This window comes from Homo sapiens, chromosome 3 (genome assembly GCF_000001405.40).
Source record: "Homo sapiens chromosome 3, GRCh38.p14 Primary Assembly".
Classification (NCBI taxonomy): domain Eukaryota; kingdom Metazoa; phylum Chordata; class Mammalia; order Primates; family Hominidae; genus Homo; species Homo sapiens.
Genome location: NC_000003.12, coordinates 51,569,095 through 51,592,643, shown reverse-complemented (window position 1 = coordinate 51,592,643; position 23,549 = coordinate 51,569,095). Strand labels below are relative to the sequence as shown.

Here is a 23,549-nt window from a genome sequence, read left to right as displayed (position 1 = left end):
GAGATCGCGCCATTGCACTCCAGCCAGGGCCAACAAAAGAAAAAAAAAAAAGCTTTAAGAGGTAAAATAGGGTCAAAAACACCAGAAGTAACAGAAGTATTACTTTTATTTTTGTGGCTCTAACACTGTAGTGAAATATAAAAATGGTCCTTGAGTCAAATTCCAAGAAGTCAGTTAACCTAGCAGAGCACAGCAGGACATAGGGCCTAATGGAACGTTTGTTTATCACTCTGAACTTCAATAAAAATGAGTCATTTTAAAATTTTAAAAAAGTATTTAAGGCCGGGCATGGTGGCTCACCCCTGTAATCCCCAGCACTTTGGGAGGCCAAGGCGGGCAGATCACCTGAGGTTAGGAGTTCGAGAACAGCCTAACCAACATAGAGAAATCCCGTCTCTACTAAAAATACAAAATTAGCCAGGCATGGTGGCAGGCACATGTAATCCCAGCTACTCAGGAGGCTGAGGCAGGAGAATCGCTTGAACCAGGAGGTGAAGGTTGCAGTGAGCCAAGATGGCGCCATTCCACTCCAGCCTGGGCAACGAGCAAAACTCCATCTCAAAAAAAAAAAAAAAAAAAAAAAAAAAAACACCAAAACCAAATTGCACAGCTACATTATTCTGAGACAAATCACAATTAAATTCTTGTCATTTCTAAATAAATAATAGTAAAGTCCGCAGAAGCATATCATATAATTTTTGAATAATTAACAATTTTACAAGGAAAAGGGAAAAGAGAATTCCAAGAAGCCAACAGGGAAGATAGTGTGTATATATCCATTACACTCACCAGAAGCATCTAAAATCCAATCTAAACCTGATGGGAGTTCTAAGGGTGTCTGTAAATACAATTATGAGAACCCAATGATGAAAAGCAAAAAGTGATGCTGACACCTAGGGACTCTAACAGCATCTCAGGAACAATGAGAGCCAAGCAAACATTACTGTCTTCCATTATTTCTATTCATTCTACTTTCTAGAAATGAGACTCCAACTGAATAAGCTAGCAACAGACAGCAAATGCTACTGGAGGGATAAAAGTGAATGGTCATTTCCCCGCAGAAATGGAGAGAGGCTTCTGGACAGTATAAAGGAGGGCAAACGGATTCCCAAGCCACATGACAGCTGTTAGGATGAATGAGAACTGAAGATAGTAAACACCAGTAAAGACAGAGGATCAGTGCTCATCCTCCTGGAATCTGGAGAACGGCAGGAGTACATTTTCCTACGTTCCTTCAGATTCAAGTAATTAGATGATCTAATGCAACGTTCAGTCCCACTAGGGGGTCTGTTATGAACAGACAAAAACCCTATTCCTCAGTCAGTAGGAAGCTTACAAACAACTAAATCCTATGCCATAAAAGGCTGGAATTAATTGAGAAGCCTTGTGGCTGGCCAAATAACCTAACATTAGACTGAACATTAAAAGTTCAATGCCATTTCAAGAAGCTGAGGGCAAAGGAAGGAGTGAGCTGAGCAAACCAAATAGAAGGCATCAAAAGGGGATCTACCAGCTATGGAGATGTAGTGCCCTCCCAGTAGGGGCAATTTATAGTCACTGGAATGGCCAAGAGGTAGCGCAGCACTGCAGGAGATGCAGTGAGCTTTCTGAAGTTGTGAATCTGTCTAAGAATCTCTGCCTGGACAATTCCCTCATGTACACACAAGCACAATTGTATGTATAATTTCAGAAAACTTACAGACCACTCACAGTTACCCTCACATCTACCTGAAGAGCCCATGGCCTCCAGACTGCAAAGTCTTACCATAGGAACTCTGCCATTGACTCCTCCATGACCTGGGCAAGTATGCAACACTCGAATCTCTGGACCTGAGTCCAAACATCTGTCAGAGACAAGCTAAAGGCTAAAGGTTCTTCCAGCAGTAAAACAAAGCTTATGTGGAGGAACAATAATCTATTTCCTAGGAATGAGCATCTGAATTCATTGCATCTCAGTTCCTAGTCTGTATCTTCCCACTATGGATGGCCTAAGAAATCTAACTGGAAACGCCAAGGTCTCCCAGCAAAAATTCCACTGGAGGAAAATATAAGGCAACTTCTGTCACTCAATAGAGCCCACTTACCATCCAGCAGGTCTTCTTCATCATCCCTGTCACACTCCTCCACTGCCACCTCCTCCTCCTCCTCCTCCTCTTCCGCATCCTCCAGCTCCACGTCCGGGTCCAGGTCTGGATCGCTCCCTGAGGCAGATTCGTCTGACATGGCTCCCAGAGGTCCTCAGTGGGCATTACCGACTCATGGTCCACTGCAGGGGTGCTAGGAGAGGATGAAAGGCATCAGAATCACCAAGGGTTTTGCTTAGGAACACAAGTCTTTCAAAGAAAAAAATGCTAGCTGGGCACAGTGGCTCATGCCTGTAATCCCAGCACTTTGGGAGGTCAAGGTGGGTGGATCACTTGAGGTCAGGAGTTCGAGACCAGCCTGGCCAACATGGTGAAAACCCATCTCTACTAAAAATACAAAAGTTAGTCAGGCATGGTGGCACACACCTGTAATCCCAGCTACTCAGGTGGCTGAGGCATGAGAATTGCTTGAACCGGGGAGGCAGAGGTTGCAGTGAGCCAAGATGGCGCCACTGCATTCCAGCCTGAGCGACGAGGTGAGACTCTCTCCAAAAGAAAAACAAAGAAAAAAATGCTGAACATGAATTCCCCGGAACTTCTCTAAGCAAGGCAAGCTAACCGTATCCAAATCACCACCTTCCCTATGAGTGTTCTGGCTCTGAGACATGTTTTAGTGACTCTGCATAGCTCAAACATCTCTTGGCTATTTTGACAAGAAAACACCTTAAAGTAACAATAACAACAAAACTATAAACCTTGGAAATCCCATTTGTTCATTCCTTCCTGTATCAACTGTTTCCTGAGCACCAACTCTCTGTATCTATTTATACATATACATATATGTGTGTGTATGTGTGTGTGTGTGTGTGTGTGTGTATATATATATATATATATGTATAGAGTCCCCAACCTGCGATGGTTTAACTTACAATTGTGCGAAAATGACACACATTCAGTAGAAACTGTGCTTCAAATTTTAAATTTTTCCCAGGCTAGTGACATATGGAACTATACTCTCTGGCAATGCTGAGTAACAGCAATGAGCCAAAGCTTCCAGTCCACCATGCTATCATGAAGTGTGCAGTTTTCTGTGCTGCCAGATGATTTTGACTGTAGACAATGTAAGTGCTCTTTATTTTATTTATTTATTTTTAGACAAGGTCCAGCTCTGTTGGCCAGGCTGGAGTGTGGGTGGAGTGCAGAGGCACAATCATAGCTCACTGCAGCCTCAAATTCCTGGGTTCAAGCAATCCTTCTGCCTAAGACCTCCTGAGTAGCTAGGACGACAGGCACATACAACCATGCCTGGCTAAGACAGTGTTAAGTGTTCTGAGCACCTTTAAGGTAGTCTAGCCCAAATTATGATGTTCAGTAGGTTAGGTGTATTAAATAGACTTTCAACTTACAATATTTTCAACTTACGATGCATTTATCAGGATGTAACCCCATTGTACATGGAGGAACAGTTGTATATAATCGCAGGTGCTATTCTAGAGTTTGGGGACACAGCAGGAAGCAGAACAAAGCATGCAGGGAATACTTAGGGCTGGTGTGTGGCAGGAGGAGCTGCTAGTTTATATAGGGGAGGTCAGTGAAGTTCTCACTGAGCAGAAACCAAAAGGAAGGAAGGAAGCCGTAAAGACATCTTGAGGGAGTGTGTTCCAGGAAGACCGAGCACCAACGGCAGAGGAGGAGTGGCTGGGAGTACACAGGAGCTAGAAGTATGTTTTACCCAAGTTATTCATTCATTCACATTCAGTCCATCATTTGCTAACCTGCTATACTATGTCTATCATGTGTCAGGCACTGTGCATGTCTGTCTCTCTTATCACTTTACTATTAGCTGTAAAGGCCATTCCTTCGTGAGGGTAAAAAAATAAAAACCATGGTAAAGAGATGGCTAGTTGGGTTAGCTCTTTGATAAAGTAAATATAGCAAAATGTTAACTAGTAAATTCACTGACCAATTCTTTCCATTTTTTCTGTATATTTCAAATTTTCTTTTCTTTTTTTTTTTTTTTTTTTTGAGATGCAGTTTCACTCTGTCACCCAGGCTGGCATGCAGTGGCACGATCTCAGCTCACTGCAACCTCCACCTCCTGGGTTCAGGTGATTCTCCTGCCTCAGCCTCCCGAGTAGCTGGAACTACAGGTGTGCACCACCACACCCAGCTAATTTTTGTATTTTTAGCAGAGACGGGGTTTTACCATGTTGGCCAGGCTGTTTTCTAACTCCTGACCTCAGGTGATCCTCCCGCCTCAGCCTCCCAAAGTGCTGGGATTACAGGCATCAGCCACTGTGCCCAGCCTCAAATTTTCACACTAAAATCAGAGAAGAGGTAAATCATCTTTTTTTTTTTTTTTTTTTTTTTTTTTGAGATGGAGTCTCACTCTGTCACCCAGGCTGGAGTGCAGTGGTGCGATCTTGGCTTACTGCAAGCTCCACCTCCTGAGTTCATACCATTCTCCTGCCTCAGCCTCCCAAGTAGCTGGGACTACAGGCGCCTGCCACCACGCCCGGCTAATTTTTTGTATTTTTAGTAGAGACGGGGTCTCACCGTGTTAGCCAGGATGGTCTCGATCTCCTGACCTCCCAAAGTGCTGGGATTACAGGCATGAGCCACCGCACCCGGCCATAAATCATCTTTTACAAGACAAACTGCTGCAGATAAATACATCAACAATCAGATCATCCTCAAATTCCTATCTCCCAAAATAAAAACTGAAGTACAAGTCTCTAGTCATTTAACATAAAAAGTACTGCAGAACTGCAATATCTTACTAAGCTTCAGATAATTTGAAACATAACATCTATCTTCTCCTGAACAGAAAAGAAAAAAAGAAAAGCAAACTAGATTATTTAGAGTTTTGGAAAACTAGAACTTAAGAATTGTTCAGAGTTAGAAATAACAGGAATTACGAGTGTGTGTGTGCAGATGGTTCATGTACTTAGCCTCTCAAAGTAAAAAACAGCTGTGAAATGATCTAGTAATAAAATTTAAATTTTTGCATTAATAACTCACTTCCAAAAACATCTGCAAAGGGCATTAAGGGACAGGGGATAAATGTGATCGACAAATACAAATTCATATAGTTAATGCTGAGCTACCATTCACTTAGTGACCTGGCAGATTTTAAATCTCTGCAGAAACGACTATCCGGCCAGACGTGGTTGCTCATGCTTGTAATCCCAGCACTTTGGGAGGCCGAGGCAGGCGGATCACGAGGTCAGGAGATCAAAACCATCCTGGCTAACACGTGTGAAACTCCGTCTCTACTAAAAAATACAAAAAATTAGCCGGGCGTGGTGGCGGGCGCCTGTAGTCCCAGCTACTTGGGAGGCTGAGGCAGGAGAATGGCGTGAACCCGGGAGGCGGAGCTTGCAGTGAGCCGAGATCACGCCACTGCACTCCAGCCTGGGCGACACAGCGAGACTCCCATCTCGAGAAAAAAAAAAAGAAAGAAATCACTACCCTGTGTCACTGGTTCATTTAATAGGTTTTAGAAAGGAAGTAGTAAATCAATTAGATATCAACAACTTTGAAAGTAAAATTTACTTCTTAATATTTGCAGTGAAATTTATTTCTGAATGTTAGTATATTCATCAGTAACTACTCTGTGTTTGGAAGTCAATGGTTGTAAACAGCACAACCCCTCTCTTTCATCCTAGACTCCTTGAGATAAGAGTGTTTTGGCCAGGCATGGTGGCTCACATCTGTAATCCCAGCACTTTGGGAGGCTGAAGTGAGCAGATCACCTGAGGTCAGGAGTTCAAGACCAGCCCAAACAACATGGTGAAACCCCCATCTCTACTAAAAATACAAAATTAGCCAGGCATAGTAGCGCATGCCTATAATCCCAGCTACTCGGGACGCTGAAGCAGAAGAATCGCCTGAACCCAGGAGGTGGAGATTCCAGTGAGCTGAGATCCCACCACTGCACTCCAGCCTGGGCAACAAGAGTGAAACTCCATCTCAAAAAAAAAAAAAAAAAAGTGTTTTCTTTGCAGTGTGCTTGGCTGATTTTAGAGAACCATTTTTAATTAGCAAGTACTTTTAGGCAACCTGAATGCCTGTCATTCTAGAGAAGAAATTGTGTGGTGGCGACAGAGACTTCCAAAAAAAAAAAAACAAAGGCAACAAAGAGCCTGGTGTGATGGTTCATGCCTGTAATCCCAGCACTTTGGGAGGCCATGGTGGGGGAATTGCTTGAGCCCAGGAGTTCAAGACAAGCCTGGGCAACACAGCGATGCCCATATCTACAAAATATACAAAAACTAGCTGGACTTGGTGGTGTGCACCTGTAGTCCCAGCTACTTGGGAGACTGAGGCAGGAGGATCACTTGAGCCCAGGCAACAAGTGAAAAGGAGGAAAGGCTGGTCTTGGTGGGCAGCAGCAGTCAACTGTATTCTTCTCTAAGGGGCTCCACCCTCACACACACATACGTCTATGTGGGCATAGCCTTTCAGAACACAAGGCAGCCTTGATTCAGTAGTCAGCTCTTAGCAGAACTGTTAGACAGACATGGTTGGTGGCGGTGGGGGCGGGGTGGTGATAAAGAAAATAATCCATCTCCCTCATTTGCTCCTCATTCTAGGCAAAACACTGCTACAATCTCCAGTGACAAGGGGCTCTGCCTCTAATACACAGAAACCAGGAGAGCAATAATGGGTATGCTGCACCTTAATGAGGACCTGTGTTCTTACAGTGCAAGTTCTGGGAATCAAATTGTATTTTAATGAAACTGGAGAACTAGCTATTTAAAGGAACTCTAAAGAGGACCGCTCTGAAAAGCAAATATTCAACCCCTAAGTGTTTTAATAAGTCTACAGTTTAATATATTAGGTTTGTTAAAAGGAGGCTGTAATTATGAAGAAACCCATAGCCAATCCTAGCCTAGCACCTCATAGCAATCGTGAGAGTGAAGGAAAATATTGTTCTGCCTTGCTAAGTTCAAAGACAACGCCACCTGTCAATAGAGTGGTACCTGGCCAACAATCAGCAGAATTAATCATGCAGGCACAGGCCTTAGAGACATGAGGCATGGCAAGGTGGGGATATTAGGATATACACAAGAGGAAACACACACACAAACAAAGCCTTTGTTCACAAAGCAGACGACCAGGCTTGCAGAGTTCACACTGAAATCATAAGACTCCGAGCACACACGCTGCCTCATCATTGTGAGGCAGCTCATGAAATTTCACAGATGTCATTATGGTCCTTGATAGCATCATGATTGTTCCTTTTAAATAAAAAGATCCTTCCCAGACTGCCATGTCCTCATTAATTTTGGTGACCTTCAGTAGTACTAAATTCTGTCAAGTGGTCTCAAAGCAAGTCCACAGCAAGCGCAAATGACTTGTTTTTTTTCTTGAAGAATATCTATACAAAACACTGGATTTGAGCTAATTTACAAGGGGAAGAAAGTCTTTTAAGAGTAGAAAAACAGGCCAGGCATAGTGGCTCACTCCTATAATCCCAACACTTTGGGAGACTGAGGCAGGAGAATCGTTTGAGCCCAGGAGTTTGAGACCAGCCTGGGCTGGGCTTTTTTGTAGAGAAGACCCCACCTCTACAAAAAAAAAATTAGCCAGGCATAGTGGTGTGTACCTGTAGTCCCATCTACTTGGGAGGCTGAGGTGGGAGAATCACTTGAGCCCGGGAGGTTAAGGCTGCAATGAGCCATGACTGTACCACTGTACTCCAGCCTAGGTAACAGAGCCAGTCTCGAAAAATAAATAAATAAATAAAAAATTTTTAAAAAGAACAGCAGGAAAACATTCAGTCCAAAGTTTTGGTCAATACCCTTAAAAAAAATAGACAAGGAATTTATATAATTCAAAGACAAAAGAAAGTTCAGTTACTCTATAGTAAGTACTATAGAGTATATATATTATAGTATATATAGCATATATATATATATATATAGTACTGTAGAGTACTATACGGAGTATAGTACTCACCAAGTACCCACAGAATTCTTCCAGTCTGCTGAGAGATCCACTATGGACTGTTAAAGTTCTTTCCAAATACCTTCCTATGCAAAACAGACACTACTCCAATCACACCCAATGCATACTTCAAACCTCCATGTAGCCCAATGCCTTTTGAGTGTCTATCAGTTACATAAAGAAAATTTAGATACACACAAAGCAGCCACAGAGCTAAACTGACACAACAGCTCAACATTTTACTTGGAAATATAATGATGATTTTGGCAATTTGAAACTTAAGAGAAAATAAGAAACAAAAGGTGAACAAATGCATTCAAGACTCGAAGGACCAGGGCCACAGAAGACAACTCTCTCCACAGGAGACAACTACCTCCAAAAGATAGCACAATGTAGCCTGGCCCAGGGAATCAGAACCTAGCATAGCACTAAAGACATGTTTACAGAATCAGTCAAGAAACCTAATTCCAGCCACAGCTCTATGAATAACTAGCTAAATGACTTTGGGCAAGTCAGTCCTCCCTCAGCTTCAATCACTCCTCTTATTCCAACCCAGGGGAGAAATGGGCCTGAGTTAATCTTCAAGATCTCTTCCAGATTCTAAAACAGCAATTCTCAAAGTGTGGTCTGGGAACCCCTGGGAGTCCCCAAGACCCTTTCAATGGAACCACAATGTCAAAATTATGGTTTAAAGAGCCATTCAGGGAGTCTCTGAGCCCACCATGGCTCAAGAGGCTACCCCAGTTTAAAAAAAAAAAAAAAGCCATTCAAAGTGCAAGATAAAAAATGGATTTTTATGTTAATAAAGTACAAAAAAATTCCTCGAGGTAACTTTTTCAAACTCTGTATTACAATTAACCTTTAAGAAGCTACCACTTGTCGGCCGGGCGTGGTGGCTCATGCCTGTAATCCCAGCACTTTGGGAGGCCGAGGCGGGCAGATCACCTGAGGTCGGGAGTTCAAGATCAGCCTGACTAACATGGAGAAATCCCGTCTCTACTAAAAAAAAAAAAAAAAAAAATTAGCTGGGCGTGGTGGCACATGTCTGGAATCCCAGCTACTTGGGAGGCTGAGGCAGGATAATTGCTTGAACCCGGGAGGTGGAGGTTGTGGTGAGCCAAGATCAGGCCATTGCACTCTAGTCTGGGCAAGAAGAGCGAGACTCAAAAAAAAAAAAATAAAAAAAAAGAAGCTACCACTTATCAGAGTTTTGGCATAGTACCAAAGAATATACACAATCTGAAAAGGCTTTATTAAAACACATGCCTTCCTTTTCCAACTACATTTCTGTGTGAGGCTCGTTTTTCTTCATGTGCTTCAACAATACAGTTAAGTCAACATCAAAACAATAAGTCACAACAGGCTATATGTTGAAGGAGATCTAGGAATCTAGCTGTCTCTATGGAGCCAGACATCTTCAAATTTTCAAATGCGTAAAACAATTCTACTCTTCCAATTTTATTGTTTTAGAAAATATTTTTCATTAAAAAGGTTATTTGCTAACATGTAAGTTTATTAATTTTTAAGATATATTAACATTCTTGGCCGGGCATGGTGGCTCATGCCTGTAATCCTAGCACTTTGGGAGGCCAAGGTGGGCAGATCACGAGGTCAGGAGATCGAGACCATCCTGGCTAACAAGGTGAAACCCCGTCTCTACTAAAAATACAAAAAATTAGCCGGGCGCGGTGGCGGGCGCCTGTAGTCCCAGCTACTCGGGAGGCTGAGGCAGGAGAATGGCGTGAACCCGGGAAGCAGAGCTTGCAGTGAGCCGAGATTGCGCCACTGCAGTCCGCAGTCCGGCCTGGGCGACAGAGCGAGACTCCGTCTCAAAAAAAAAAGACTTCCCTGGCTTAGACCCTTCAAGTAGGAAGTCATTGAATAGCACACCCCTACAGGATTATTCCCAGACGCCTTGAGTAAACAGAGGCAAAGTTCTAGAAGGCCATTCTGAGGGGAGCAAATGAAAGGTTCGTTTCCTTCTCCATGGAATCATGGCCAGCAGGAAAAAAAAAAAAAAGGCAGAGTTGTGGGGGGTGGAGGGTAGAGAACAATTAGGAAGAGATGAGCTAAAGCAGGGATGACAGTTTGAGCTATGAGAAGCCCGTGTGACAGACACTGCTCCACCCTCTAGAAAGCTGAGCTCTGAAAAATTCACTCACACACACACAAACAAAACAAAAAACATCAGACCAGTGTAAAATGAAGGTGATAAGAAGAGGAAAAAAATAAGATCTCTGGATACAGGGGATGAGGCAAGAATGAGAAAGAAATTCTTTGCTTGTGAACAAAGGCTTTGTTTGTGTGTGTGTTTCCTTCTGTGTATGTAGGATGTTACCATTTGACCTATGAGTCCTGTGTCTTTCCACACAGCTATAACTTCTTAAGCTGGTGATTACTGGCCAGGCACAGTGGCTCATGTCTATTATCTCAGGACTTTTGAGAAGCCAAGGTGGGAGGATTGCTTGAGCCCAGGAGTTTGAGACCAGCCTGGGCAACATAGTGAGACCTCATCTCTACAAAAAAATTTAAAAATTAGCCAGCATGCTAGTGCCCACCTATAGTCTGAGGCCAGAGGATCACTTGAGCTCAGGTGTTCAAGGTTCCAGTGGGTCATGATCATACCACTGCACTTCAGCCTGGGTGACAGAGTAACCCTGACTCAAAAAAAAAAAAAAGAAAAGAGAAGGGAGACTACAGAAACAAGAACCCACATGGCAGGGACATGGAGGGTCCACTTTCCTCAGACTTCCCTAAGCCTAAGTCAGCCCTGAGTTCAGAACAGCTTAAAAGCAGATCAGGTTTATCTGCTAGACAATGAGACTGAAGAGGCTTGGAAAAAAGCCAAGCCATGCTCAGTGTCTCATCCTTCCAATTCCCCAATCACCACTGCCTCCATTCTCCCTTGCCAGTCTCTTCTCAAAGTACAAGCCCTCTGAGGATCCTCCCTCTCCTGAGAGCTCTATCACAGAGCCACAGAGCTCAGTCTGGGTGCTTTCGAGCCCAGACCGATACAAGCTGCGCACAGAGGAGATGTTTTGCCCTTCATAGCCGCATGAACATTCAGTATGAACTGTGTGACAAAGATTCTATCTAGTCAAACTACTCACCAGACATGATCCTGAAAAGCTCTGTGGAAGTAGCATTTCAACAAATCAAAGCTTTTAAATAAGACCGTGCAGGAATTCTATATGAATCCTTTTATAATGCAAATAGGCACAGTGCCTCACGCCTGTAATCCCTGCACTTTGGGAGGCCGAGGTGGGTGGATCACTTGAGGCCAGGAGTTCGAGACCAGCTTGGCCAACACAGTGAAACCCCGTTTCTACTAAAAATACAAAAATTAGCCGGTTGTGGTGGTGCGTGCCTGTAGTCCCAGCAACCTGGTAGACTGAGGCAGGAGAATCGCTTGAACCCAGGAGATGGAGGTTGCAGTGGGTCCAGACTGCACCACTGTACTCCAGCCTAGGCGACAGAGTCTCGTTAATAATAATAACAACCACCGCTGATTTTCTGAGCTGACACTGGTCACTTTCGATTTTCAATTACCAATTCTTTTAAAATAGCTACACCTACATGGTATATAGGTTGTTTCTATAGTTTTTCCTTAATTGGTATCTAGTACAAATAAAAGTGTTAATGGATGACTACTACGTTGTGATATATACTTTTGTATTTTCAAAATATTCTACAGAAAATAATATAACGTACTAATATTATTGCATTTGGATGGTTATTAACGCTTTTCCACTGTGACTTTGCCAGTGACTTGGGCACTCTATGCACTTAGCTTCAAGACAGGAGTAAACTCTTTTGGCTCTGCTTCTCACAGTTCTAAAATCAATGGTAATGTTAGTCAGCTGCAGGCCCTTTGTGGTGCTTTGTGTATAAGACAAAATATATTTGGTCTCTGTCCCAGGTTCCCAGCACAGAACTCCTAAAATCCTTGGAATTTCCTACGTGATGGGAGTGTCTTTTGTTATTTATAATCAGCCCCTTTTGATCACACCAGAGTTTATGCTAATAAACTTAGGGTGGGGCCCCTAGATAGCCCCAGGATGGGACTGGAAAGACCTAGAAAGACCCCGTCCCTAGAATGACCAGGGACTACAGGGTGGAACTTTCAGCCCCACTCACTGAACTCTAAGAAGTAGGGTTGTGGGGGCTGGAAATTGAGCTCTATAAAAATTATTGAACAATGAGATTTAGAGCACTTCCAGGTTGGAGAACACATCAAAGTGCTGGGAGGGTGACACTCCAGGATAGGGCACAGAAGCTCTGTGCTCCACTCCCTCCATACCTTGTCCTTGGCATCTCTTCCACTTCACCGTTCCTGAGTTGTATCCTTTATGAGAAACAGGTAAACCTAAGCAAAATGTGTTCCTGAGTTCTATGGGCCATTCAGGCAAATTATTAAACCTGAGGAGGGGTCTTGGGAATGCCCTATTCATAGCTGGTCAGTCAGAAGTTACTGGTGGGCCAAGACTTGAGACTAGTGTCTAAAGTGGGGGTGTTGTTGCAATACCGAGCCCTTAGCCTGTGGTATCTGCTCCAACTCCCGGCAGTGTCAGAATTGAATACTGTTGAACATCTAGTTGGTGTCCAGAGAATCGGAAAATTGATTGTTAGTGTTGGAAACACCATGGTGCTGTTTGGAGAAGTGATTGTTGGTGTTGGAAATATAGTGTCACATGGATTTAAGTGGCAAATAAGGGTAAAAAGTTTCTATCTGCAAAATGCAACAGAAAGTTTGAAGATGGATTTCTTGACTTCCCATGTGTAAAAATAAACTGTGGAATTATTTCAACACAACCGGTAAACTGTACCTTTTCTTATCTATATACTACTTATTTAACTTTTTTGTTTGCCTGTGATATAGCCTCAGAGGTCCTGAGAACACATGCCCCTAAACTGTACCTTTAAACTACTAAATGTCACATTTCTAGTTGACTTAGTAATTAAATGGTACCGGGGTTCGTAAATGGAAATACGTAGTGAGTTTCACCCCCTCAATTCACAAAGGAAGACAGGAATCTCACATGAACCAAATTTGTTTCAGATACTGTTTTCCATATTTTAAGTAATAATAAAACTGATAATGAGAATTAGGAGAAAACTGTTTTCCATATTTTAAGTAATAATAAAACTGATAATGAGAATTAGGATAGGAACAGGAGGCAGGGAAATTCTGGGCAGAAGAGGGCAGGTCCCTGGCAAGGGCCCCACCCTCAAGCCTGGAACCATGGCCCAAAGTGAGAACTTACATCTGTTTTCCCACTCAAATGTTTTCCTTTTCCAAAACCACCCATGGCCCGCCCTGCCCCCCATCCTGCACCCATAAAAATCCCAGGCTTGAGGTGGAGCTTGCAGTGAGCCAAGACTGCACCGCTGCACTGCAGTCTGGGCGACACCGTGAGACTCTGTCTCAAAAAAAAAAAAAAAAAAAGCCCAGGCTCAGCCTGCAGAGAGAGGAGAAGCAGGTGTGCATCAGAGACTACGGTTGGATGTCACAGAAAAGCGGCTTGACTTCAGAGGGACAGCTTGATGGTGTAGCTTCGGAGAGGAGTCCGGCCAGGGAAGGCCTACAGGGGAAGATTACGGTCCCGCTCTGTCCCCTTTTCAGCTCCCCTTCTGGCTGAGAGCCACTTTCATCAGCAATAAAATCCCCCACATTTACCACCTTCAATTCGTTCGTGTGACCTCATTCTTCCTGGATACCGAACAAGAACTCAGGTGCCATGAGGGTGGGTGCAAGAGGCTGTCACACGGACCCTCCACTGAGCTGTTAACACTTAAGCCATCCACAGATTACAAAGCTAAAAGAGTACTGCAACACTTCCTCTAGGGCTTCAGGGGTCACAGGCACCCTCCCCTAGATGCTGCCACGAGGCCAGTAAAGAGTTTGCTCTTCCCAGCGCCCAAAAGCACTAGCCCCAGCTCCTGCACCCACTCACCAGTGCTCCCCCTCCCACGATGAGTAGAGTAGCGAGTGAGCGGAGTTCACTCCTGCTAGTCCCCATGTACTCCAGTTCCCACCCATGAGGGGGTCAAGGAAATATCCTGCTTCAAAATTAGCAGAACCAATGAAGATCAGTAGTGATCTGAGCAGTTCAAAATACATTCCATCAGCAGTCTAACCATCAGCAGTCTATCTCCTCTCCCTTGGCCAACATACCCCCTTAGGCTACCAAATCTATTAGTTGCTACAAAAATGCATAGGAATTGAATTACACAAATGAGTTATATTCAAACACAATCCTTTTCCTCTCAAGGAAGCAGCATTGTTCCCTAGAATGTCGTGAGGAAGTCAGGATCAGAATGAGAATTAGAAGACAAGGATCCTGGGACTACCTGTGTATACCTCAACATGTATGTAAAATAATCCTCCAAAAACTGTTTCAGATTATAACAGACTAACTGTAATGAGGGATCCTGGGTTAGATCCTGGACCAGGGGGTGGGGCAGGGGGGGAGTGTGGGGGAAAAAATAGCTACAAGGGCCTAGGGGAAATAATATTTGGGGACAACTGATGCCATTGAGTACAGAATATAAATTAGATAATAGTATTGTATCAATATTAAATTTCCTGATTTTGAGAATTGGTCTGTGGTTATGTAACAGAACATCCTTAGGCAATACATAATGATGTGTCTATGAATGAAATAATAAAGTATTTAGAGGTAAAAATAAATAAGTAACTGGGGGGAGGTTCCAAGATGGCCAAATAGGAATAGCTCCAGTCTACAGCTCCCAGCGTAAGCGACACAGAAGATGGGTGATTTCTGAATTTCCAACTGAGGTACCAGGTTCATCTCACTGGGGCTTGTCGGACACTGGGTGGAGCCCACGGAGTGTGAGCCAAAGCAGAGACACACATAGGCTCAAAATAAAGGGATGGAGGAAGATCTACCAAGCAAATGGAAAACCAAAAAAAGCAGGGGTTGCAATCCTAGTCTCTGATAAAACAGACTTTAAACCAACAAAGATCAAAAGAGACAAAGAAGGCCATTACATAATGGTAAAGGGATCAATTCGACAAGAAGAGCTAACTATCCTAAATACATATCCACCCAATACAGGAGCACCCAGATTCATAAAGCAAGTCCTTAGAGACCTAAAAAGAGACTTAGACTCCCAAACAATAATAATGGGAGATTTTAACACCCCACTGTCAACATTAGACAGATCGACGAGACAGAAACTTAACAAGGATATCCAGGAATTGAACTCAGCTCTGCACCAAGCAGACTTAATAGACATCTACAGAATTCTCCACCCCAAATCAATAGAATATACATTCTTCTCAGCACCACATCACACTTATTCCAAAATTGACCACATAGTTGGAAGTAAAGCACTCCTCAGCAAATGTAAACGAACAGAAATTATAACAAACTGTCTCTCAGACCACAGTGCAATCAAATTAGAACTCAGGATTAAGAAACTCACTCAAAACCACTCAACTACATGGAAACGGAACAACCTGCTCCTGAATGACTACTGGGTACATAACGAAATGAAGGCAGAAATAAAGATGTTCTTTGAAACCAATGAGAGCAAAGACACAACATACCAGAATCTCTGGGACACATTTAAAGCAGTGTGTAGAGGAAAATTTATAGCACTAAATGCCCACAAGAGAAAGCAGGAAAGATCTAAAACTGACACCCTAACATCACAATTAAAAGAACTAGAGAAGGAAGAGCAAACACATTCAAAAGCTAGCAGAAGGCAGGAAATAGATCAGAGCAGAACTGAAGGAAATAGAGACACAAAAAACCCTTCAAAAAAAAATCAGTGAATCCAGGAGCTGGTTTTTTGAAAAGATCAACAAAATTGATAGACTGCTAACAAGAATAATAAAGAAGAAAAGAGAGAAGAATCAAATAGACACAATAAAAATGATAAAGGGAACATCACCACCGATCCCACAGAAATACAAACTACCATCAGAGAATACTATAAACACCTCTACACAAATAAACTAGAAAATCTAGAAAAAATGGATAAATTCCCGGACCCATCCACCCTCCCAAGACTAAACCAGGAAGAAGTTGAATCCCTCAATAGACCAATAACAGGCTCTGAAATTGAGGCAATAATTAATAGCCTACCAACCAAAAAAAGTCCAGGACCAGATGGATTCAGAGCCGAATCCTACTAGAGGTACAAAGAGGAGCTGGTACCATTCCTTCTGAAACTATTCCAATCAACAGAAAACAAGGGAATCCTACCTAACTCATTTTATGAGGCCAGCATCATCCTGATACCAAAGCCTGGCAAAGACACAACAAAAAAAGAGAATTTTAGACCAATATCCCTGATGAACATCGATGCAAAAATCCTCAATAAAATACTGGCAAACCGAATCCAGCAGCACATCAAAAAGCTTATCCATCACGATCAAGTTGGTTTCATCCCTGGGATGCAAGGCTGTTCAACATACACAAATCAATAAATGTAATCCAGCATATAAACAGAACCAAAGACAAAAACCACATGTCTATCTCAATAGATGCAGAAAAGGCCTTTGACAAAATTCAACAGCCCTTCATGCTAAAAACTCTCAATAAACTAGGTATTGATGGAACATATCTCAAAATAATAAGAGTTATTTATGACAAACTCACAGCCAATATCATACTGAATGGGCAAACACTGGAAGCATTCTCTTTGAAAACTGGCACAAGACAGGGATGCCCTCTCTCACCACTCCTATCCAACATAGTGTTGGAAGTTCTGGCCAGGGCAATCAGGCAGGAGAAAGAAATAAAGGGTATTCAATTAGGAAAAGAGGAAGTCAAATTGTCCCTGTTTGCAGATGACATGATTGTATACTTAGAAAACCCCATTGTCTCAGCCCAAAATCTCCTTAAGCTGATAAGCAACTTCAGCAAAGTCTCAGGGTACAAAATCAGTGTGCAAAAATCACAGCATTCCTGTACACCAATGACAGACAAACAGAGAGCCAAATCATGAATGAACTCCCATTCACAATTGCTACAAAGGGAATAAAATACCTAGGAATCCAACTTACAAGGGATGTGAAGGACCTCTTCAAGGAGAACTACAAACCACTGCTCAATGAAATATAAGAGGACACAAACAAATGGAAGAACATTCCATGCTCATGGATAGGAAGAATCATATCGTAAAAATGGCCATACTGCCCATGGTAATTTATAGATTCAATGCCATCCCCATGAAGCTACCAATGACTTTCTTCACAGAATTGGAAAAAAACTACTTTAAAGTTCATATGGAACCAAAAAAGAGCCTGCATTGCCAAGACAATCCTAAGCAAAAAGAACAAAGCTGGAGGCATCACGCTACCTGACTTCAAACTATACTACAAGGCTACAGTAACCAAAACAGCATGGTACCCGTACCAAAACAGAGATATAGACCAATGGAACAGAACAGAGCCCTCAGAAATAATACCACACATCTACAACCATCTGATCTTTGACAAACCTGACAAAAAACAAGAAATGGGCAAAGGATTCCCTATTTAATAAATGGTGCTGGGAAAACTGGCTAGCCATATGTAGAAAGCTAAAACTGGATCCCTTCCTTACACCTTATACAAAAATTAATTCAAGATGGATTAAAGACTTAAATGTTAGACCTAAAACCAAAAAAACCCTAGAAGAAAACCTAGGCAATACCATTCAGGACACAGGCATGGGCAAGGATTTCATGACTAAAACACCAAAATCAATGGCAACAAAAGCCAAAATTGACAAATGTGATCTAATTAAACTAAAGAGATTCTGCACAGCAAAAGAAATGACCATCAGAATGAACAGGCAACCTACAGAATGGGAGAAAATTTTTACAATCTACCCATCTGACAAAGGGCTAATATCCAGAATCTACAAAGAAGTTAAACAAATTTACAAGAAAAAATCAAACAACCCCATCAAAAAGTGGTTAAAGGATATGAACAGATACTTCTCAAAAGAAGACATTTATGCAGCCAACAGACACATGAAAAAATGCTCATCATCACTGGCCATCAGAGAAATGCAAATCAAAACCACAATGAGATACCATTTCATACCAGTTAGAATGGCGATCATTAAAAAATCAGGAAACAACAGGTGCTGGAGAGGATGTGGAGAAATAGGAACACTTTTACACTGTTGGTGGGACTGTAAACTAGTTCAACCATTGTGGAAGACAGTGTGGCGATTCCTCAAGGATCTAGAACTAGAAATACCATTTGACCCGGCCATCCCATTACTGGGTATATACCCAAAGGATTATAAATCATGCTTCTATAAAGACACATGCACACGTATGTTTATCGTGGCACTATTCACAATAGCAAAGACTTGGAACCAACCCAAATGTCCATCAGTGATAGGCTGGATTAAGAGAATGTGGTACACATACACCATGGAATACTATGCAGCCATAAAAAAAGATGAGTTCATGTCCTTTGTAGGGACATGGATGAAGCTGGAAACCATCATTCTGAGCAAACTATCACAAGTACAGAAAACCAAACACCGCATGTTCTCGCTCATGGGTGGGAACTGAACAATGAGAACACTTGGACACAGGGTGGGGAACATCAAACACCGGGGCCTATTGTGGGGTGGGGGTGGGGGGAGGGATAGCATTAAGAGACACACCTAATGTAAATGACGAGTTAATGGGTGCAGCACACCAACATGGCACATGTATACATATGTAACAAACCTACACGTTGTGCACATATACCCTAGAACTTAAAGTATAATTTTTAAAAATAAATAAATAAATAACTTTCTAAAAGACAATTACAAGGAAGAAAATAAAAATTTCTTTCCCTAGTTCTCCAAAGATTTAAACACTTAACAAATCCCAAAATACCTCATTTCAAAGTATAGATTTGGGCCAGGCGCAGTGGCTCACCTGAGGTCAGGAGTTCGAGACCAGCGTGGCCAACATGGCAAAACCCCATCTCTACTAAAAATACAAAAATTAGTCAGGCGTGGTGGCGCACCTATAGTCCCACCTACTCGGGCGTGGTGGCGCTTGCCTGTAATCCCAGCTATTTGGAGGCTGAGACAGAATAATCATTTGAACCCAGGAGGTGGAGGTTGCAGTGAGATTGTGTCACTGCACTCCAGCCTGGGAAACAGCAAGACTCCATCTCAAAAAAAAAAAATAGATAGATTTGAAATATAACCTAACTGACTATTCTCTGTAGTTAGTTAATAACAAATTAGTAACAAACTTCCTTTCCTTTAAGACACAATGCCTTAGGGTTAAAAAGGCTAATTAAGCCTACCTTCTAAAGGGGTGAGTCTCTTTCCTTCTTCCTCTGAGCACAGCAGGAACTAGAACCATCTCTGAGGAAAAAGTCTCACTTGGCTTGTCTCTGGAAGGCTCTAAGCATGATCAATGACATAAATAAACGGCACCCCACAAGCAGGTAGAAATTGTACTCACCAGCTTGCCCTCCCTCTGTGTATGGACGTGGCCCAGTTTTGAAGAATCTTGTAAAGCGACTTATGTATCCATCTAGATTATATATTTCACCATTACTTTATGGACAAAGTTATTCTAACCTGTGCCGACATTTTCTGTTTCTGTTTTAGGCTCCTACACACACACATACACACACACACATATCTTAGCATTGTAGAAATAAGAGTGCTTAAAATTTATAGCACCTTTTGCCAGGCACAGTGGCTCATACCTGTAATTCCAGCACTTTGGGAGGCTGAGGCAGGCGAATCACAAGGTCAGGAATTCGAGACCGGCCTGGCCAACATGGTGAAATGCCGTCTCTACTAAAAACACAAAAAATTAGCTGGGCGTAGTGGCAGGCGCCTGTAATCCCAACTACTCAGGAGGCTGAGGCAGGAGAATTGCTTGAACCCGGGAGGCGGAGGTTGCAGTGAGCCGAGATCACGCCACTGCACTCGAGCCTGGGTGACAGTGCAAGAATCCATCTCAAAAAAAAAAAAAAAGATTTATAGCACCTTTTACTTTTTTTTGAGACGTCTTGTTCTGTCGCCCAGGCTGGAGTGCAGTGGCACAATCATAGCTCACTGCAACCTCTGCCTCCCAGGTTCAAACAATTCATGTGCCTCAGCCTCCCAAGTAGCTGGGATTACAGGCGTGAATCACCATGTCCAGCCTTTTTTTTTTTTTTTTTTAAGACGGAGTCTCACTCTGAAACCCAGGCTACAGTGCCGTGGCACAATCTTGGCTCACTGCAGCCTCCATCTTTTGGGTTCAAGCGATTTTCCTGCCTTAGTCTCCTGAGTAGCTGGGATTACAGGTGCCCACCACAACGCCTGGCTAATTTTTGTATTTTTAGTAGAAACGGGGGCGCTTTCACCATGTTGGCCAGGCTGGTCTTGAACTCCTGACCTCAGGTGATCCACCCACCTCGGCCTCCCAAAGTGCTTAGATTATTGGCGTGAGCCAACATGCCTGGCCAGATTTACACCACTTCTAACCAATCACGGTTACATATGTACAAGGAATGTATAGAGCCCTGTAAGTCTCTCTCTAGTCTAATGCTGGACATAAATACCGAAGAAAACAGTGACAAGTGAATACTAGCAAAGATAGATGAGAAAGAAAGTGTACATTTCACCTAAAACCAAAATAGCAAAGTAGAAAAAAGGCTTCTTTTAAACTAATACTCCTATTCTCTGGGGAAAAGTATATGGAGTCTGGACAAAATCCAGACTACAGATTTTGCAAGTAAGAGGAAGTGCAGAAAAATTCTATTTCCAAAAGTAAATAAATAAATAATAAAAAATGAAGTAAAAAAAAACCCCTATTTCTATAAGTGGAAAATAATAGATGTTAATTCTTGAGAAGAAGGGGCATCTGTCAAAGACTAGAAAATGCCATGTGCGTGTGCATGCGTACATGTACACATAACCGACTATGCATGTCCCACCACTCATCAGATAAATAAGCTATTTGAGGACAGGCATGGTGGTTCACGCCTGTAATCCCAGCACTTTGGGAGGCCCAGGTGTGCAGGTCACCTGAGGTCAGAAGTTTGAGACTGCCCCGGTCAACATAGTGAAATCCCATCTCTACTAAAAATAGTGATGCACCTATAGTCCCAGTTACTTGGGAGGCTGAGGGAGAATTGCTTGAACCCGGGAGGCGAAGGTTATAGTGAGCTGAGATCGCACCACTGCACACCAGCCTGGACAACAGAGCAAGACTATGTCTTTAAAAAAAAAAAAAAAAAAAAGCAGGTATTCCACAGAGACACAGCCAAATTTCATTAGACACCAAAATGGGAGGTACAAAGACCAAAATAATTCATACAAGGACCTTATGGTCAGGAAATATTGTCACAGTAGAGGGAACAAGGGGCAAAGGCTGGGATGAACTAAAAGCCTGAGAAAATATTTTAATGGAAAAAGTGGCTGACCTTTATTTTGGAGAAAAAAAATGATGATCAAAGGGAAAGGCAGAAATGCAAACAATTTATTTAGTTCAAAGCCTACGCATTTTCTGGCTGAGCGCAGCAGCTTACTCCTATAATCCCAACACTTCGGGAGGCTGAGGCGGGTGTATCACCTGAGGCCAGGAGTTCGGGATCAGCCTGGACAACATGGTGAAACCCCGTCTTTACTAAAATACAAAAATTAGCCAGGCACGGTGGCAGGCACCTGTAATCCCAGCTACTCAGGAGGCTGAGGCAAGAAAATCGCTTGAACCCCTGAGACGAAGACTGTAGTGGGCCAAGATCATGCCATTGCACTCCACCTTGGCAACAAGAGCAAAACTCCATCTCAAAAATAAACAAATAAATAAAAGCCTATGCATTTTCTGTACAAAGACACCACGCCAATGACAAAACATTGATTCTTAAAAATAGGGCTGGGCACCGGTGGCTCATGCCTGTAATCCCAGCACTTTGGGAGGCCGAGGCAGGCGGATCACAAGGTCAAGAAATCAAGACCATCCTGGCCAACATGGTGAAATCCCGTCTCTATTAAAAATACAAAAATTAGCTGGGTGTGGTGGCGCGCACCTGTAATCCCAGCTACTCGGGAGGCTGAGGCAGGAGAATCACTTGAACCCAGGAGGCAGAGGTTGCAGTGAGCCGAGATCGCGCCACTGCACTTCAGCCTGGGCGAGTGTGAGACTCTGTCTCAAAATAAATAAATAAAAATAAAAATTTAAAAGAGGGCCGGGTGCAGTGGCTCACATCTGTAAATCTCAGCACTTTGGGAGGCCGAGGCAGGTGGATCCAGAGGTCAGGAGTTCAAGACCAGCCTGGCCAAGATGGTGAAATCCCATCTCTACTAAAAATACAAAAGTTAGCCAGGCGTGGTGGCGGGCACCTGTAATCCCAGGTACTCAGGAGGCTGAGGGAGGAGAATTGCTAGAACCCGGGAGGCAGACGCTGCAGTGAGCTGAGATCGCGCCACTGCACTCCAGCCTGGGTAAGAGTGAGACTCTGTCTCAAAAAAAAAAAAAAAAAAAAAAAATTAAAAAGGCTGGGCACAGTGGCTCACACCTGTAATCCCAACACTTTGGGAGGCCAAGGCAGGAGGATCACTTGAGGACAGGAGTTTGAGAACAGCCTGGGCAACATAGTGAGACCCTGTCTCTATAAAAAACTACAAAATCAGCTGGGCATAGTGGTGCACGTCCGTAGACCCAGCTACTCAGGAAGGTGAAGTGGAAGTATTTTGAGCCCAGGGAGTCAAGGCTGCAGTGAATTGTGATCACATCACTGCACTCCAGCCAACAGAGTGAGACTGTGTCTTGAAAATACAATAAAATAAAACAAATAATAATAAATAAAATGTTAGCATATTATAAAAATATAAATTAAAAAGACACTGTGCCAGGCACTATGATGCACAAATATATCCATCAAATAAAAGAACTCACATAAGAAAAAAAGCAGTAAGACTATTTGACTCAAAAACAGAGAGAATTAGACTGGGCACAGTGGCTCATGCCTGTAATCCCAGCACTTTGGGAGGCCAAGGCAGGCGGATCATGAGGTCAGGAGTTCAAGACCAGCCTGGCCAACATGGTAAAACCCAGTCTCTACTAAAAATACAAAAATTAGCTGGGCGTGGTGGTGGACACCTGTAATCCCAGCTACTTGGGAGACTGAGGCAGAAGAATTGCTCGAACCTGGGAGGTGGAGGCTGCAGTAAGCTGAGATCGCGCCACTGCACTCCAGCCTGGGTGACAGAGCAAGACTCCGTCTAGAAAAAAAAAAAAATAGAATCAACAAAAATACCATTTTGGGCCATCAAAGAAGTATGCATCATTTTGTGAAAATAAATAATTCAAACTTAAAGCTGTTAGAATTTTAAATTATTCTGAGCCTTGAGAGGAATGTGGTTATGCTGCCTGAGTGACTTGGCATGCAGCTATAACTTCTGTATTTTTTTCTATAAATAATTAGGAAGACCAGTGGCACTAGAGATAAGACCTCTCAGATCCCTGCCCCTACTTATTAAGTAATAAAGTAATCTTGCTTGAAATGTAGCAATCTGTAACCAATCAAATTGT

General features: G+C 42.8%; 1 protein-coding gene across 6 annotated transcripts in view, besides 1 other annotated feature; it reads right to left on the bottom strand.

Moving 5' to 3' along the window:
• RAD54L2 (RAD54 like 2) overlaps positions 1 to 23,549 on the bottom strand; it is a 129,942-nt gene that overhangs the window by 76,017 nt on the left and 30,376 nt on the right. For 5 of the 6 annotated variants that reach the window (NM_001322253.2, NM_001387866.1, NM_015106.4 and 2 more), the window contains one exon: positions 2,085 to 2,277. The exons of the other annotated variant lie outside the window; for it this stretch is intronic. In NM_001322253.2, coding sequence (NP_001309182.1) covers positions 2,085 to 2,223 — 139 coding nt within the window. In that variant the 5' untranslated portion in view covers positions 2,224 to 2,277. The remainder of the gene's footprint in view (positions 1 to 2,084; positions 2,278 to 23,549) is intronic. 6 annotated transcript variants of the gene reach the window in all.
• Positions 8,765 to 9,550: an enhancer, noted in NCBI's record as "H3K27ac hESC enhancer chr3:51617110-51617895 (GRCh37/hg19 assembly coordinates)". NCBI's record gives its function as "activates a minimal SCP1, AML or CMV promoter by ChIP-STARR-seq in primed H9 embryonic stem cells {active_cell/tissue: H9 hESC(primed)}" and the evidence as "EXISTENCE:reporter gene assay evidence [ECO:0000049][PMID:30033119]".